A 16,408-nucleotide genomic window follows, 5' to 3' on the forward strand; every position below is an offset into this window, starting at 1 on the left:
AGTACTTCGATAAAATGCTATTCTTATTGACATTTTTACATATTTCTAATGCCAAATACCATCAAGTTTTAAAAATGGAATCTAACAAGTCAAAAAAACTGTTTGCAACAAACACTACAAACTCTTTTTTCCTAATTTATGCCCCTATATAAACACATTAGGCAGCTAAGCAACAGGAAGAGTAGAAAGTCCACCAAAAGAAAAGTTAAAGAAAAAAAAAAGGTTATCTTAGCCTATTTTACTTCCATTTCTTCATCTGTAAAGGAGAAAAAATAATAGTATATACTCACAGAGTTGTTGGGTGGATCAAATGAACTAGTATGCATAAAGCCCTTAGAACAGTACACAACAACAGAGGCATTGCTACAGAAATGTTTGCCATCATTTTCTACTATTAAACTATTTGTAGTATGATCCCCCACAGAAAGAAGTTTAATAACTTTTTGAAAAGGTAATGAAAAAAGACAAAAAGACCTAAAAAGCAACCCTAAATTACCAATCTACATGAAAAACTATCTTGTTTACTATGAGAATCTAGCTTTACCTTGAAATCACATACACAAAAAACTACAGAAGCACAAAATTGTAGATTACAGTGATTTGAACTATCTTAAAAAACAAGAAGACAGTAAAGATTTCTGAAGAGGAATAAAGATATTTTTTGAGTAGGTCATATGAGTGTTACTTAGAATTGGATTCCATACCTGCTGACGACTACTAAGATCCAGCTGCTTCCAAAACTGGAAGTCTAAACAAAGGTCACGCCAGTACTTGCAAACCAATGATGCGGAAAGGCAACGCTCATCCAGTGACAAATTGGAAAATATCTGTGAATAAAAAACGGTACCATATAATATGTGCTAAACATTTTCAAGGCACAGGAAAAGGTTTTTATTAGTTAGAAAAAGTTAACTTTGTAAAAAGAAAACCTTCTTGAATAAAAGAGGCCATTATTGTAAGTCACCGTAAGAGATCACCTTAAAGAGAAACTATGATACAGGAGCTAAAAACGGACTGATGTTATATTTTCTGTAAGAAGAGGAGGGGAAGAGAACAGGCATGTACTGACACGTGTTCATGCATATCTTTGTGTTTGCTTATATTTAAAAAAAAAAGAATTGAAAGCATTAACCAAAAACTAATAAAAAAAAAACTGTTTACCTTTCTGGGAAGGGAAAAAAGACTAGGGAAGAAAGAGTGATAAACTTGAGATTATTCTGAAGTTTTACAGTTTGACCTTGGAGCCACGTGAACTTTTCATATGTGATTTAAGAAAAAAAGAAAAACAAAAGTAAATCATAAGAAAGGTACTTTACCTTTATGGTATCTTTTCCAAAATATTCATAACACCAATCTAATAATAAAATATATATACTAAATGTGGGACATTCTACAAAATACTGGATCAAAACTCCTCAAAAAATTCAAGGTCATGAAAAACAACAAAAAAAGAAAGCAATTATCACAATTCAGAGGAGACTAAGAAAGAATGACAACTAATGTTATCCAGTTAGATCCTGGGACAGAAAAAGACATTAATGGAAAAACTGGTGAAACCACATAAAGACTGGAGTTTAACTAATAGTAATGTACAATGCTGATTTCATAGTTTTGGCAAATGTACCACAGTGTCAGAAGAAAATAAAATCAGGGGAAGTAAACAAGTATGAAAGAAAAATAAGTCTCAGGACCCCAAAATCACTAAGCCAAAGACAAAAGTCAAGGCGGGAACTGTATCAGGCAAGCCTGCCTCCCATTTTATTCCTAAATAAGATAGCTACAAGGATTTAAAAAAAAAAAAAAAAGCTACATACTTCCCTCACAATTTGACCAAAAGGAAATTCTCTGTGGACCTCAAGATCTTGACCCTAAAGCAGTTCTGCTGAATTTCACCCTGACCATGTAAATTGATAGCTTCTCTTCACAGATATGGGACAAATGACAGACAGAACTCCATCATCCCTCTGCTCACCTAAGACAAATGCATATCTGATTGCTTCCTCTGCCATATTGTTTATGTAAAAATGCAGGTTCACTGAGTCAGACTAAGGCAGAAGTGATTATTCCTCTACACTCCCTCAGGTGTAAATTGAGTATTCAGTGAAAGGCTGATAAAAGACCCAAAAGAATGCAACCTTTTATCTTTTACCTAGCTATAACCCAGTAGCCCTGACTTCGAGTCTGTCCCTCCTTTCTGGACCGAACCAATGTATATCTTATGTCTCATGTCTCCCTAAAATGTACAAAACTAGGCTGTGCCCAACCACCTTGGGCACATGTTCTCAGGATCTCCTGAGGGCTGTGTCACAGGCCACTTATCACTCATATGTGGCTCAGAGTAAATCTCTTCAAATATTTTACAGAGTTTGACTGCTTTCGTCAACACTGGATAACGAATATAGGGGAAATCTCTGTACTATCATTGCAATTTTTCTATAAATCTGAATGTATTCCATGTCAAAACACCATATATTTTAAATATATAATATAAAAATAAAATTATTCCAAAATAAAATCTATTCTAAAAAATAATTTTTAAAAGTTACATCATAAAAAGATGGTTAGGGTCAGGATGAAGGCCAATACAAATCTTGGAAAATTAAAAGCTTTATCAACAAATACCATGTGTGGGCCACACTGAGATCCAGAATTGAACCAATTCTAAGAAGATACTTTTCAGACAATCAAATAAAACTGAATATAAAAGATATTAATTTAAAGGAATTATTAAATAAGATTAAACACTGAAACAAATGTGACCTATACATTTAAGAAAGATTAATAAAAACAAGTAAGATAATTATTTACCCAGTTATTCCAGTTCAGGGTTGCAGGTGACCAGAGGTCAGGGCACAAGGTAGGAACCAGCAATGGACAGGACACCAATGCACCACAGGGCACATGTACACTCACTCATACCGGGACCATCTAGACACATGCACACCTTATACAAAACCTAATGTACACAGCTTTGGGATGTGGGAGGAAACCAGAATACCCAGAGAAAATATGTGCAGGCATGGGGAGAACATGCAAACTCTACATAGACAGTGGGCCCAGCTACGAATTGTTTTGTTTTGTTTTTTTTCTCATTAACATTATAACACAATGATGTTGAACTAAAGGCTATTAGTCAAGGATTTGTTGTAATACATGATTTCAATTATAATTATTACCTAAAATGACTTACCTCTATATGGACAAAAGTTGTAAACATATAAGCTAGAATCTCTACTATGTTTAAATCTTGGGCCTCGGGAAAACAACTGCCTGTTACCTTCACAACCAGTTTTTCCTCCAACAAGTCTAGTGAGAAGTATAGAATATCATAAAAGTGGCAGGGCATGGTGGCTCATGCCTGTAATCCCAACACTTTGGGAGGCCGAGGCAGGTGGATCATGAGGTCACGAGTACAAGACCAGCCTGGCCAATATGGTGAAATCCCATCTCTACTAAAAATACAAAAATTAGACAGACATGGTGGCGCATGCCTGTAGTCCCAGTTACTCAGGAGGCTGAGGCAGGAGAATCATTTGAACCTGGAAGGCGAAGGTTGCAGTAAGCCAAGATTGCACCACTGCACTCCAGCCCGTGCAACAGAGCAAGACTCCTTCTCGGAAAAAAAAAAAAAAAATCATGAAAGTCACTAGCGAATTTGTCTCCCATGCCAGCAAACATGTATTAAGCCCACTACAGCCTTTTACTTGCAGGCATTACAACTAAAATATCTGGACAATATATTAAAAGCAATTGCCTCAAAACTCTAAAAAGTTAGTAACAAATGAATTGTGGAAGGGTGCCAAAATTTGAAGAATGGCCAATAACAAAGATGAGTTTCCTGGGTTTTTTTTTCTTTAATCCCCTAGTATGGAATTCAGGGTGGTCCCTGTACAGAAATGCACAGGAGGTAAAAATCAACAAAAATTCAGAGAAAAAGCTATCTTTCTGGACAAAGGACCAGGAAAATGGGCCTCTGCAAGACAGAGAATGTGAGAAGACTTGATTTTTGGTTTTCCTTTCTTCCCCTTTTCTCTTTTCTCCCTACTGGCTATGTCCCAAATGCTACGTCAGTAGCAGAGCTGCAATATAGACCCCAAAAGTAAACCCACCATTCTGGTCAGAAGAATTGGGGAAGAGAACTCTGTGGTCCAACAAGTAAACAAAGAATTCCCACTACTGTTTCTTAATTTTATCATAAAAGCAGCCCCAGTCATGCAAAACTACACAGCAGCACAGGTGGCTGTATCTCTGAGAGAAACTCCATCTTTCTAGCCAGATAACCAAATAAAGTTTTATTGGCACACAAAACATAAATGAATGTATACAACTATGTGCCAATAAAACACGATTTACAAAAACTGGCAGTGGATTTGGCCTGTGAAGGGCTACAGTTTGCTGGCCCATTCACAAGAAAAAAGGAAATGAAAAGAAACTGCCCATGAGAAAACCCAGACATTGGACTTACTAGACAAAGACAATAAATCAACAATTTAAGACATGCTCACAGAGCTAAAGAAAACCGTGGACAAAGAACTAAAGGAAATTATGAGAACCAAATAGAAATGTCTCACCAAATAGAGAATATTAATAAAAAGTAGAAATTATGAAAATAAATCAAATAAGAATTATAGAACTAAATTATACAGTAATGACATTTTAAAATTCACTACAGAGATTAAACAGATTAGAGCAAGTGGAAGTGTTATATAAATAAGCCAAAGATGACCTCTGTGTATTGGTTCCTAGGTTATTTCTTCACTGCAGGACGAGACTCATTAGCTCAAGAGCCCACTAGTACCAAACTCAAATTTTTACACATCCCATCATGCTGCTGAGTGACATCACCTAGACAGGTAAGCCTGCTCTCCAATTCTCCTGTTCCCCAGGGGTTGCCTTGCCCTCCTCCCCTTCTGTATGGCAGTCTACCTCGCTGTAAGCCTCTGCACAGCTTCATGCTGTAAAAGAAGTTTCCTCTCATATAATCCTGTCCAAGTGCCACCAAATGAAGCTTGTTGTGTGTTACCACTTCTTATAATCATATCTCTTTCTTGAGAAACATCAAAATCCCTTGAACCTCTACAAGAAGAAAGAATCAGCAAACCTAAAGATAGGTAAATTAAAATTACTGAGTCTGTGGACTGAAGGAAAATGAACATACATGTGGAACCCCACCAAACATACTAATATACATATAATTGGAGGCACAGAAGGAAAAGAGAGTGAAAGAGGCCTAAATATTTGAAGAAATAATGGCTAAAACTTTCCAAATCTGATGAAAGGCATGAATCTAGCTCATAAACTCAATGAATTCCAAGCAGGATAAATGCAAAAGGATTCATATCAAGATGCATCATAATCAAATTGTTGAAAGACAAAAACCGAGAGAACCCTGAAAGCAGCAAGAAAAATGCAACTCGTGAAAAGGACACTCAATACAATCAACAACTGATTTTTCACTGGAAACCATGGAGACCAGAAGGCAGTGGGATAACATATTCAAAATGCTGAAAGGAAACTGTCAACCAAGAATCCTCTATCTGGTAAAACAACCCTTTAAAAATAAAGGCAAAATTAAGATATTTCCAGATAAACAAAAACTGAGGAAGTTTGTCACTGGTAAACTTCCCCTAAAAGAAATACTATAAAGAGTCCATCAGGCTGAAATGTAAGGGGATCAGACAGTGGCTTAAAATCACATATGAACTAAAGGATACCAGTAATTGTTGGTATTTACATAGGTAAATATAAAAGTGCATATTACTGTGTCTTTGGTTTGCAATGCCTCCTCTTTGCTATATGATTTAAAAGACTACATAAAACAGTAATTATGAATCTATATTGATTGGCACAAAATTCATAAAGCTGTAACTTGTGACAATAACAACAAATACAGGAGCAAAGTTTTTATATACCACTGAAACTAAACTGGTATTAATTCAAACTAAATTGTTATAATATATAGTGTTAATTATAACCCCCAGGGTAAATACTAAGAAATACACACATAATTATTTACTATATTTTATTTATATATATAATTCTCATATATACATATTCTCACATTACATAAATATAACATATCTAAATATATTATATTAATATAAATATAATATATATCTAAATATATTAATATAAATATAATATATATCTAAATATATTAATATAAATATAATATATATCTAAATATATTAAATTTTTATTAATATATATCTAAATATAATATATCTAAATATATATTAATATAAATATATATCTAAATATATTAATATATTTAGATATGTTATATTTATTTATATAATGTGAGAATTATATGTATATATGAGAAGGGGATCAAAATGGTACACTAGAAAATATCTGACACAAAGAACAGCATCAGAGGAATTGACAAACAAAAAATATATAAGACATAGAGAAAACAAATAATAAAATAGTAAATGTATTTCCTTATCACTAATTACACTAAATGTAAATGGGCTAAACTTTCCAGTTAAGACACATAAGGCCAGGGCCAGGCACAGTGGTTCACACCTGCAATCCCAGCACTTTTGGGAGGCTGTGTTGAGTGGATCACTTGAGCCCAGGAGTTCAAGACCAGCCTGGGCAACATGGCAAGACCCTGTCTCCACAAAAAAAATGACAAAATTAGCCAGCCATAGTGGTATGCACCTATGGTCTCAGCTACATGGGAGGCTGAGGTTGGAGAATAGCTTGAGCCCAGGAGGTCGAGGCTGCAGTGAGTTGTGATCGTGCCACTGCATTCCAGCCTGGACAACAGACTGAGACCCTGTCTCAAAAAGAAAGACACAATGAATAACAGGATAAAATGTAAAAACACAATCCAATTATATACTGTTTACAAGAGACTCAATTTAGATCCAAAAATATACACAGATTGAGAGTAAAAGCATGGAACAATACATATAGCAAAAACTGACAGAATTGAAAGGAAAAAAACCAAAAAGAGTTCCGCATTAATGCTTGGAGACTACAACGTACAACTTTCAATAATGGATAGAACAACCAGACAAGAGATGAACAAGTAAACTGAACACTTGAACAAGACTTAAACATGGCCTATCAGATATCTCTAGAACACTACACAAAATAGAATACACATTCTTCTGAAGTGCATAAAAACATTCTCAAAGACCAAAGTCTAAAATACTACACTACAAGTCAAGTCTCAACAAATTTGAAAATATTAAGCTCATACAAAGTATCTTTTCCAATGACAATGAAAGGAAATTAGACATCAGTAACAGAGGCCAGGAACAGCAGCTCAGGCCTATAATTCCAGCATTTTGGGAGGCCGAGGGAGGCAGATCACTTGAGCCCAGGGGTTTAAGACCAGCCTGGGCAACATGGCAAAACTCCCATCTCTACCAAAAAATACAAAAATTAGCCGGGCGTGGTGGCATGTGCACCTTTAATCCAAGGTACTAGAGAGGCTGAGGTGGGAGGATTGCTTGAGCCCAGAAGGCAGAAGTTGCAGTGAGCCATGATCACACCACTGCACTCCAGCCTGGGTGATACAGTGAGACTCTGTTTCAAAAAATGAAAGAAAAGAGAAGAGGAGAAGGGAGGTGAGGAAAGAGGAGGGGAAATCACTAACAGGAGGAAATCTGGAAATTTCACAAATACATGAAAATTTAACAATCAACAAGTAAGAAGAACTCATAAAGAAAACTAGAAAATAATTTGAAATTAATGAAAACAAACACATATAGCAAAATCTATGGGATACAGAAACAAGTAACTACATTTAAAAAGAAGAAAGATCTTGAATTGGCAACCTAAACTTCTACCTCAAGAAACTATAAAAAGAAAACTCAATACAAACTAAGCAGAAACAAGGGGGAAAAAATACAGCTAATACAAATGAAATATAGACTAGAAAAATAATAGATGATCAACAAAACCAAAAGTTTATTCTTTAAAATGATGAGGCCGAGCACAATGGTTGACACCTATAATCCCAGCACTTTGGGAAGCCAAAGTGGGAGGACTGCTTGAAGCCAGGAGTTTGAGACCAGCCTGGAAAACATAGCAAGACCCTGTCTCTACAAAAATTATTTAAGAAATTAACCAGGCATGCGCCAGCATGCCTGTGCACCCAGCTACTCAGGAGGCTGACAAGAGGGAAAGTCACTTGAGCCCAGGAGTTTAAGGCTGCACTTCCATTTACATAGCTATAAGCTATGATCACACCACTGCACTCAAGCCTGGGTGACAGAGACCCTGCACACACACACACACACACACACACACAAAATTGGCTAGACTAAGAATAAAGAGAGAAGACTCAAATTTTAAAATCATGTATAAAAATGGGAACATTAATATCAACCTTACAAAAAGTACACAATTATAAGAGAATACTATAATTGTATGCTACCAAATTGATGAAATAGATGACAAATTCCTAGAATATAAACTATAAAAACTGACTCAAAGGAAATAGAAAATCTGAGTAGATGTACAGCACGTAAAAAGATGGAATATGTAATAAAAAACAAAAAACTTACAACAAAGAAAAGACAAGGACCAGATGGCCTCACCAGTAATATGCTTCAATAAGAATGAACACCAATCTATCTTAAATTCTTCCAAAAATGAGAGGATGGGATACTACTTCCCAACTCATGCTATAAGGCCAGCATATCCTGATACCAAAGCCAGGCAAAGAAATCTCAAAAAACTACAGACCAATGTCCCTTATGAATACCGATGTGAAAATCTTCAATAAAATATAAGGAAACTAAATCCACAGTATAGTAGAAGGGTTATACACCATGACCAAGTAGGATTTATCCCAGGAATGCAAGGATGGTTCAACATATGAAAAAAACCCATGTAACACACCATATTAATAGAATAAAGGTAAAAAGCAAAAACAAAACACATGATCATCTCAACTGATTCAGGAAAAAGCACTGGACAAAATCTAATACCCTTTCTTGATTAAAACATTCAGAAATATAGGAATAAAAGAACACTTCCTCAACCTGAGAAAGAGCATCTACCAATAACCCCTAGTTATCATTATACTTAATGGTAAAAGTCTAAAAGTTTTTCCCCAAAATCAGAAACAAAACAAGGATTTCTGCATCATGACTTCTATGCAACATTGTACTGGAGATTCTGGCTAGGGCAATTAGACATGGAATATAAACAAAAGGCATCCAGATTGGGGAGCTGGAATTAAAACATCCTCTATTCACAGATGTCATGGTCTTATATAGAGAAAATCCCAGAGAATAAACACAAAAATTAATTTTAGAGCTAATAAGCAAATATTTTTATATACTAGCAATGAATCATCTGAAGATGAAATTAAGAAAGCACTTCCATTTATAATAGCATCAAAAAGAATAAAACTTTTTTTACAGCTCTCATTTCTTTATTGAGATTTCCAATTTGTTGGGTCAATGTCATCATATTCTCCTGTAATTATTTAAATAATGTTTCCTTTCTTTTACCATGTTTATAATAGCAGTTTGAAGTCTTTGCTAAGTCTAATATCTAGGCTCACTCACAGTCAGTTTCTATTAACTGCTTTCTTTTTCCCTCAGCATGGGTCACATTTTTCTGTCTCTTTACGTGTCTTAAAATTTGTTGTTAAAAACTGGACATTTTGGATAACATAGCCAGTGTATATTCTTTTTTTTTTTTTTTTTTTGAGACAGAGTCTCACTCTGTTGCCAGGCTGGAGTGCAGCGGTGTGATCTCGGCTCACTGCAACCTCCACCCACGGGTTCAAGCTGGGATTACAGGCGTGAGCCACCGCACCTGGCCACCAGTGTAGAATTTTATATTTCTGAGCCTTTTAACATGTCTGGCCCTAAACTGTGGAATCTGTGTCCTGGGCAGTGTGACTACATCTGTTCAGATTTTAATTCACATATATATGTTTTAGCCTGGCTTTCTAGAGAAGTCATTCTGTGTCTGAATATCTTAGTTTTCAGCTATGTACATGCCAAAGATATGCTCAAACAGCTTGAGCCTGCTCTTTAATCTGTATCTGGGTTAAGAAGGGCACATTCAAAGCTTAAAGAATTCTCATCTGCCTTGGCCCTTGCTCTCAGTTAGACAACCTCAGGTCTCCCCTACACATGTGCATAGTTTCACGTTATGCCAGGATATGTGAAGAGGTTATCCCTTTATGGTTCTCTCATTTCCAGGGTCTGCCTTTTAATTTATAGCTACTCTTCCACTCACCCCAACTGGCACTACAACCTTAAACTAGCAAATACATGGTTTTTCCTTGTTTTCCCCTACCAAGTTCAGTACATTTTATCGACAAAGGTTTTTACTCATTGCCCCAAATTGAATCAGCTGTCTGACAGCGAAGCTGCTGGTTTTCCAAACTACAATTCTTGCCAAAAGTGCTGGGACAGGAGGTCACAGTAGAAGCCCACGCGAGAATGCTGTAGACTTGCACTATTCTTACCTGAAGATCTAACAGTTTTCCTAAGAATAAATGTTTCTCAATGATTTTCTTTGCTTTTGGTTGATTTCCAGAGTTCAAATAGTTTTGGGCAATTCTGCCATTTTTATACTTGTGTGTGGAAAGGATTCACCAAACTCTTCATGCAGCCACAGGTGAAAGTACATTTCTTGCGGATATTTTTATGCTTGTCCTCCTCATTTTATAAATGAGAAAATAAAAACTTAGATGGCCTAGATCATTTTTTAAGGTTAAAGGACTATGTGGTCTTAAAGGGCTAATTTGTCAGTTAACAATCAACATGTAGGGCATGGTCACTGCAACCAAGTAGCATCTTGTTTGAAACCTGCCTGACTTTAGCTATTATCTTTTATATAAAAGTGATATGGCTGTTATAAACCACAAGTCATTGACTAAATCCAGATTTGTTTATCCAAGTGAAGAAATTTAAGATGTGGGTAATAAGCATAAAATAGGATATTTTGCCAAAGGCAAACAACTTGTTAAAGAAACTATTATATTAAAATGCATTTTTGACTGCTTTAAAGCAGGTAATATTAACCTATATAAAAGAGAAACATCCTTGTTGATATTGAGCCAAAAATTAGCCTATGATGCAACATATAGTTTAGTTTCTCTCCTCTGCCATAAAAAAAAAAAAATGGGCAAGTATGGTAGCTTTCCCAAAAAACATCCTTTAAATTCTTAAACATCCTCACATTTCTCTCCCAAATTCTACCTGCCTCGTTTTTGTTTTTTGTTTTTTTGTTTTGTTTTGTTTTGTTTTTACAGCTATAGTAACTTCCTAGCATAAAAGATGAAGCAAAAGCAATACAATTATAATAGCTATTGACTCCCTACCAGGAGAACAGGGCATAATTTCTAAGAATGTTTTCCAATAGTGATGATAGACTTGTGCCTCTCTACGCAACCCTTCTAATATTAGAAAAGAAAAATTGTCATAGCTCCATAAGTCTTCCCTTCTCCAAGTCAAACAACTCCAGTCCTTACCAGCAGAGCCAGAATCCTTTCACCACCACATGGCTCTACCGTGGCTCCAACAGCAACTCCAGTCAGAATATGGACATTCCTTAGAAATATCTCTTCGTGGTGTGGCGTATTCACCCTGAGTCTCAGCACAGACTCTAAACACCTGATGATACATTCGTTCGTAAGTATTTACTGAGCGCTACTATATGCCAGACACTGCACTTAAAGGAGGAGACAGAGCAATGAACAAGATTACGAATCCAGAGTCGCTGCACCCAAAAACTGGGGTTGGCAGACACTGAACAATCGCTAATTCAATTCATCCCAGACAGTACAGCTCACTTCGTGCTGAATACCACTAGGACCATCAGACTCAGACAGAGAATCTTTATTAGAATTTTCTAATACAAGGAATGGAAATCTACATAACATGTCCAAATACACACAATAGGGCAAGCCCATGGTAATTCCCATATGTCCTTTAGACAAAGTTTTCAACAATCCTCAGGAAAAAATATGAAAGAGAACAACGCGGTATAGGATAAGTTTATTTTATTCTATTAGAGTTTCTCTTTATTATGAGATCATGTCCCTTTTTTTTCTCGGCATTAAAATGTTTTTTACCTCATGAAATAATTTGTAAGTAGAAGGTACCTGGCTTTGTTTTGGTTCATTTTGAAACAGTCTTATTTGCCAAATAAGAAGACAGCAATCAAGTTTCTATACCAAATATTTGTTGATATTTTATTTATCCATATCACCCAGTGATTTAAAGGACTCAAGAAAGTTCCCTTTGTCCTAAAATGCACCTCTGCACACAAAGAGTAGGCAATTACTCTTCCAACAAGTAGACCTCCATAAGAATTAGATCATTACATTTTGACACAAGGAAATGTAAGTTTTCCCACCCTCTTGCTGTATCACTCACAAGAACAATAATATCACTGTAAAACAGACCCAAACACACAGTACTGTAAATATGCAAAAAGTCTAGTCAAAGAAACTATATTGGTGACAATAACAATTGTAATTAATGACAGTTACTTCAGTAACGGTAAAAGTAGCCAAATTCTTATCAAGGTTATTTATGGCTAGTCTCTAGTATCATCCACAATGAAAATGGTTTATATTTATTAAGCTCCAAATAGGGTAGGGTGGGAGAAGAGAGAAAAGGAGGGAAAAAGTTAATAATAACTTAATAAAAACTCTATTATGTAACTAAAGTTTGTCACTAGCATTGACAAAACTGCAAAATATTCTTGGTAGTTGAAAATGACACAAACTTCATGCAGGACACCCATCTCCCAACAAAAAATACATCTGTGCTTACCTCTGGTAATCTGTATGCTTTTATGCAAGGGTTAAAATGTAGAAGGGCATTACAACATAGCATAAACAAAGAGGTTTTTAAGTCAGGTGGTCTTAAATTCCCTCATTCAAGACCTAGATCTACCCTTTACTTTCTGTATGTGACCTTGCACAAGTCATTCAACCACTTCAAGCCCCACTAGACTGTCAGCTCCACAGGAGCAAAGACCACTTCTGCCTGACTCACTACTATAAACCGTGGCCCACAGCACGGAGAAATCAGTTTCTTCCTGTATAAAATAAAGATATTAACAGTATTTATCTCGAAGCGTTAACTAGATAAATGGGATATTATATATATAAAGTCTGGCGCAGTGCCTGATTATGGTAAATGCTCAGTAAGTTAACCGTTTGACATTAACTACCAGCCATCAAACATGAAAGTAATGTTTAAAGACTTTCAAACACCAACATGCAAAGCCTTTACCCACTAAGTATAAATTCCTCGATTAAAAAATTTTTTTTTCCACAGAATACCTGCGAAGTTTCTAAACCACTGGGTTGGGATTCTAATAATAGCTGAACCCTGAATGGTGGGTTATAGAGTCAAGCTATTAAAAGACATTCAGTAGACTCCAAGTGCTCCTACTTCAAAAAATAGGCCATAGGCAGAGGCCCCACTGGCTTCCCAGTCTCCCCTTGGGACGTCCCTAGGCTGCCAGGGAACCCCCCTCCTCCGCGCTTAGGGGGAGGAGAGAGAAAGCCTCGGAGGCGGGGGCCGGGGGTGGGGGAAAGCGAGCATCCCTGCGCCTCTCGCCCAGACCCACCTTGAGCAGGATGGACGGCGGCAGCTGGTTGATGTCTGGGGTTTCGGGGGGCGGCTCCCTGTGACAGTCGCAGGGGTTTTCGGGGGACTCCCGACAGTCCGCGTCGCCACATTCATGCTGCTGCTGGGCGGACAAGGGGGCGGTGCCCCCGGCTCGGACAGCGTCCCCGCCAGCTTCGGTGGGGGCACCTTCGGAGGTGGGAGAAGAGGGCGGAGGGCAGAGCGGCTGCGGGGGCTGCTCCGGGGCCTGGCAGCAGCCGGCGTCGGGGGGCCGGGGCGGCGAAGCGCCTCCCCCCGCAGGCCCTCCCCCGCCACCGCCGCCGCCGCCGCCGCCGCAGCCCCCGCCGCCGCAGCGGGGCTGCTTGCAGGGGGTGCAGGCGGGGACCCCGGCCCCCTTCCGCTTGCACACCATTTCGGGGGGCGTAGGGAGCTCGGCCGGTGACGGTGTCGGCCCCCGGAAGAGCTGCACGGCGGCGGGCGGCCCCAGGAAGCGCACCGGCCCCAAGCTGGCCAGGAAGAGACTTCGGCCCTGCTGCTCCCAGGCGGCGGCCGCAGCCAGCCCCAACTCTTTGCAGCAGGAGGCGGGCGACGAAGCCGAGGCGGCAGCGGCGGCGGCGGCGGCGGCCGAGGATAGCAGGAAGCGGCGGGCAGCAGCGGCGCAGTCCTCGGCGGCCAGGGCCGCGTAGCGCCGCGCCAGGTGCTGAGAGGAGGAGGCGGCAGCGTAGGCCCCGTCCCGCGGCGGCGGCGAGAGCGGCGGCTCCTCCTCTGGGCCGGCGGGGGCGGGCGCGCCGGGACTGTGCACGATGAAGCAGAGCATGCAGGGCCCGCGGAAGAAGCAGTCCCGGCTCCGGGGCGCCGCCGGCTGAGGGGGCACCTTGGCTGGGGTCCGGCGGGGCAGCCTGAGGAGAGGGCGCCGGCGGCGGCACCAACTGCAACAGCGAGGCCTCTTCTGGCTCGGGCGGTTACGCGGCTCCTTCGAGAGAAGGTGGCCCATATAGAAGGCCCCGAGGAGGGGGACCGGGACGGGAGGGAGGGAGACCCAGAGAGGCGGGCTCCCGGCAGCGGGGCAGGCCGCTCGCTGGCTCGGCCCCCGGAGGGGTCGCCCTTCCTGCGCACACACACGCACACACGGGCACACACGCGACGGTGGGGGGTGGGCGTCAGCTGCGGGCCGCCGGAGTGCCCGACGGGGGCTACATGCTTTGCCCAGGGAAGCCGGGAGAACGATGGGCGCGAGCTTTGGGGACGCGAGGGAGGGAGCGAGCGAGCCTGCCGGCTAGGCGACCAGTCCGGGCCCGGCCAGCCGGCTCAGTCAGTCAGCGGAGCGGCCGGGGAAAGGCCGGGTCCCGCTCGGACCATTTTAACTGCGGATCCGCCGCCGGCGCGCGCACCCGCGACTCTGCTCGGAGCCGCAGGAGCGCGCGGCCCGTTCCGGCAGGGGGCGGAGCCAGTTGCGGTGGCGCGCTCGTGGCGGGGACGCCGGCACCCGGCTGCTCACCCGGGACGGCCGTCACACCGGCACTACGGGAAGAAGCCGGCCGGCTAGGGCACGGAGCTCTGGGCTTGCGGGGTGCGGCGCACGCCCCTCCCTCCCACCGCCTAAGGTTTTTCCGAAGCTGCTGGGCGTGCGCCGCGTTTCTGAGGCGGGAGGAGACACTTCCGAGCCAGCTGTGTGACATCCGTTTACACAGCCGCGCTGACGTCTCGAGGTGTAAGTTCAAGAGCTGCCATTGGCCGGGAGCCGCTGGGCTCTTCCCCTCACCTTCCACCCCTGTCACCACCCCTGACTCGGAAACCGAGGCCACTTCGAAGCCGCGAGGCGGGTTCCGCCGGAAGGGCCAGTGTGGGCGCTGACCGCGCTTCGGGCAGAGTGGCAGATGCGGCCCCTGGGTGATGCGCACCGAAGTCATGTGAGGGGTTGATTGGTTGTGCGGCACCACTGTTTACCCACTTGTGTTTTCTTAATTGTTGCGTACTACTGCCTTTCCACAACTTTATTTCAGAATGAAAGCATATATCAAATTACCTGTGCACAGCAGAAAGATAACAGCTTCCCCACCCAGTGAGCCATTCAACACCCAGGCTACAAACTGTAGATCACTTTATTGTCTACACCCTCGGAATCCTGTCTAGCCGTCTGTTGTATATTTTAAACATGACGGTGCAGTGCCTGCTATATGACAAACGTTGGTGATCCAGATGAGAAAGAGGAAACAGCTATGCAGGCAGTCCTTTAGAAGGTTTGACTATATCGAGGCTAAAGAGCTAGGGCAGCTGCTAGAGCGGTACCTGGTGCGGAGAGGTTAGCTTTCACAAGCGAAAAATTAGAGGAGGCAAATACCATGGGAATGAGCCACTCTAGTGAGAGAAATAAGAGGAGAAGGTGGAATGGAGAGTGCTTTAGGAAGGATACTTTCTTCATTGTGATTACAGAGAATGAGGAAAGGTAGATAAAGGACGGATACAGAGAGGTGGATGTTTCTAGCAGGAAGGTGAAAGAGTTCCTTTCTGTTGGTTTCTGTTTTGCTTCAGATAGAGCTTGGTTACCTGCTGAAGGGTGGAAGAGAAGTGGCAGGTGTTTAAAAAAAAATCTGCTAAGGATAACTTGAGAGAGCTGACTGAGGAAGAAGTATTGCAATATTCAAGGCCCAGTGGCTTGGAGAAGACCACTGTTGGAACCTACATTGCTATTCCCACTATAGTGGCCAGCCCCACCCAGCCTGCTCTCAAACATGCTGTCAAACAATTGTTAATTCTGGCCTTTTTGTCAGAAATGACCAATCTTAAGTCTGTCACATTCAGGGATCCTTTCAGAGCCTAATGACAGTTATGTGGAA

At 41.0% G+C, this 16,408-nt stretch overlaps 1 protein-coding gene across 13 annotated transcripts in view, besides 4 other annotated features; it reads right to left on the bottom strand.

Moving 5' to 3' along the window:
* Positions 1–14,972, bottom strand: part of FBXL17 (F-box and leucine rich repeat protein 17) — a 523,064-nt gene extending 508,092 nt beyond the window's left edge. For all 13 annotated transcript variants that reach the window (XR_427717.4, XR_007058627.1, NM_001163315.3 and 10 more), the window contains exons 1-2: positions 13,573–14,972; positions 705–827 (exon numbers count right to left, since the gene is read on the bottom strand). Coding sequence is in view for 11 of the 13 variants with exons in the window: in NM_001163315.3 (NP_001156787.2) it covers positions 705–827; positions 13,573–14,565 (1,116 nt within the window). In the remaining 2 variants the exon portion in view is untranslated. The remainder of the gene's footprint in view (positions 1–704; positions 828–13,572) is intronic.
* Positions 13,823–13,902: a silencer, noted in NCBI's record as "silent region_16218". NCBI's record gives its function as "represses an Ori minimal core promoter by ATAC-STARR-seq in GM12878 lymphoblastoid cells {active_cell/tissue: GM12878}" and the evidence as "EXISTENCE:reporter gene assay evidence [ECO:0000049][PMID:35858748]".
* Positions 13,923–14,672: a silencer, noted in NCBI's record as "silent region_16219". NCBI's record gives its function as "represses an Ori minimal core promoter by ATAC-STARR-seq in GM12878 lymphoblastoid cells {active_cell/tissue: GM12878}" and the evidence as "EXISTENCE:reporter gene assay evidence [ECO:0000049][PMID:35858748]".
* Positions 14,873–15,122: a silencer, noted in NCBI's record as "silent region_16220". NCBI's record gives its function as "represses an Ori minimal core promoter by ATAC-STARR-seq in GM12878 lymphoblastoid cells {active_cell/tissue: GM12878}" and the evidence as "EXISTENCE:reporter gene assay evidence [ECO:0000049][PMID:35858748]".
* Positions 15,223–15,342: an enhancer, noted in NCBI's record as "active region_22876". NCBI's record gives its function as "activates an Ori minimal core promoter by ATAC-STARR-seq in GM12878 lymphoblastoid cells {active_cell/tissue: GM12878}" and the evidence as "EXISTENCE:reporter gene assay evidence [ECO:0000049][PMID:35858748]".

Source organism: Homo sapiens, chromosome 5 (assembly GCF_000001405.40).
Source record: "Homo sapiens chromosome 5, GRCh38.p14 Primary Assembly".
NCBI lineage: Eukaryota > Metazoa > Chordata > Mammalia > Primates > Hominidae > Homo > Homo sapiens.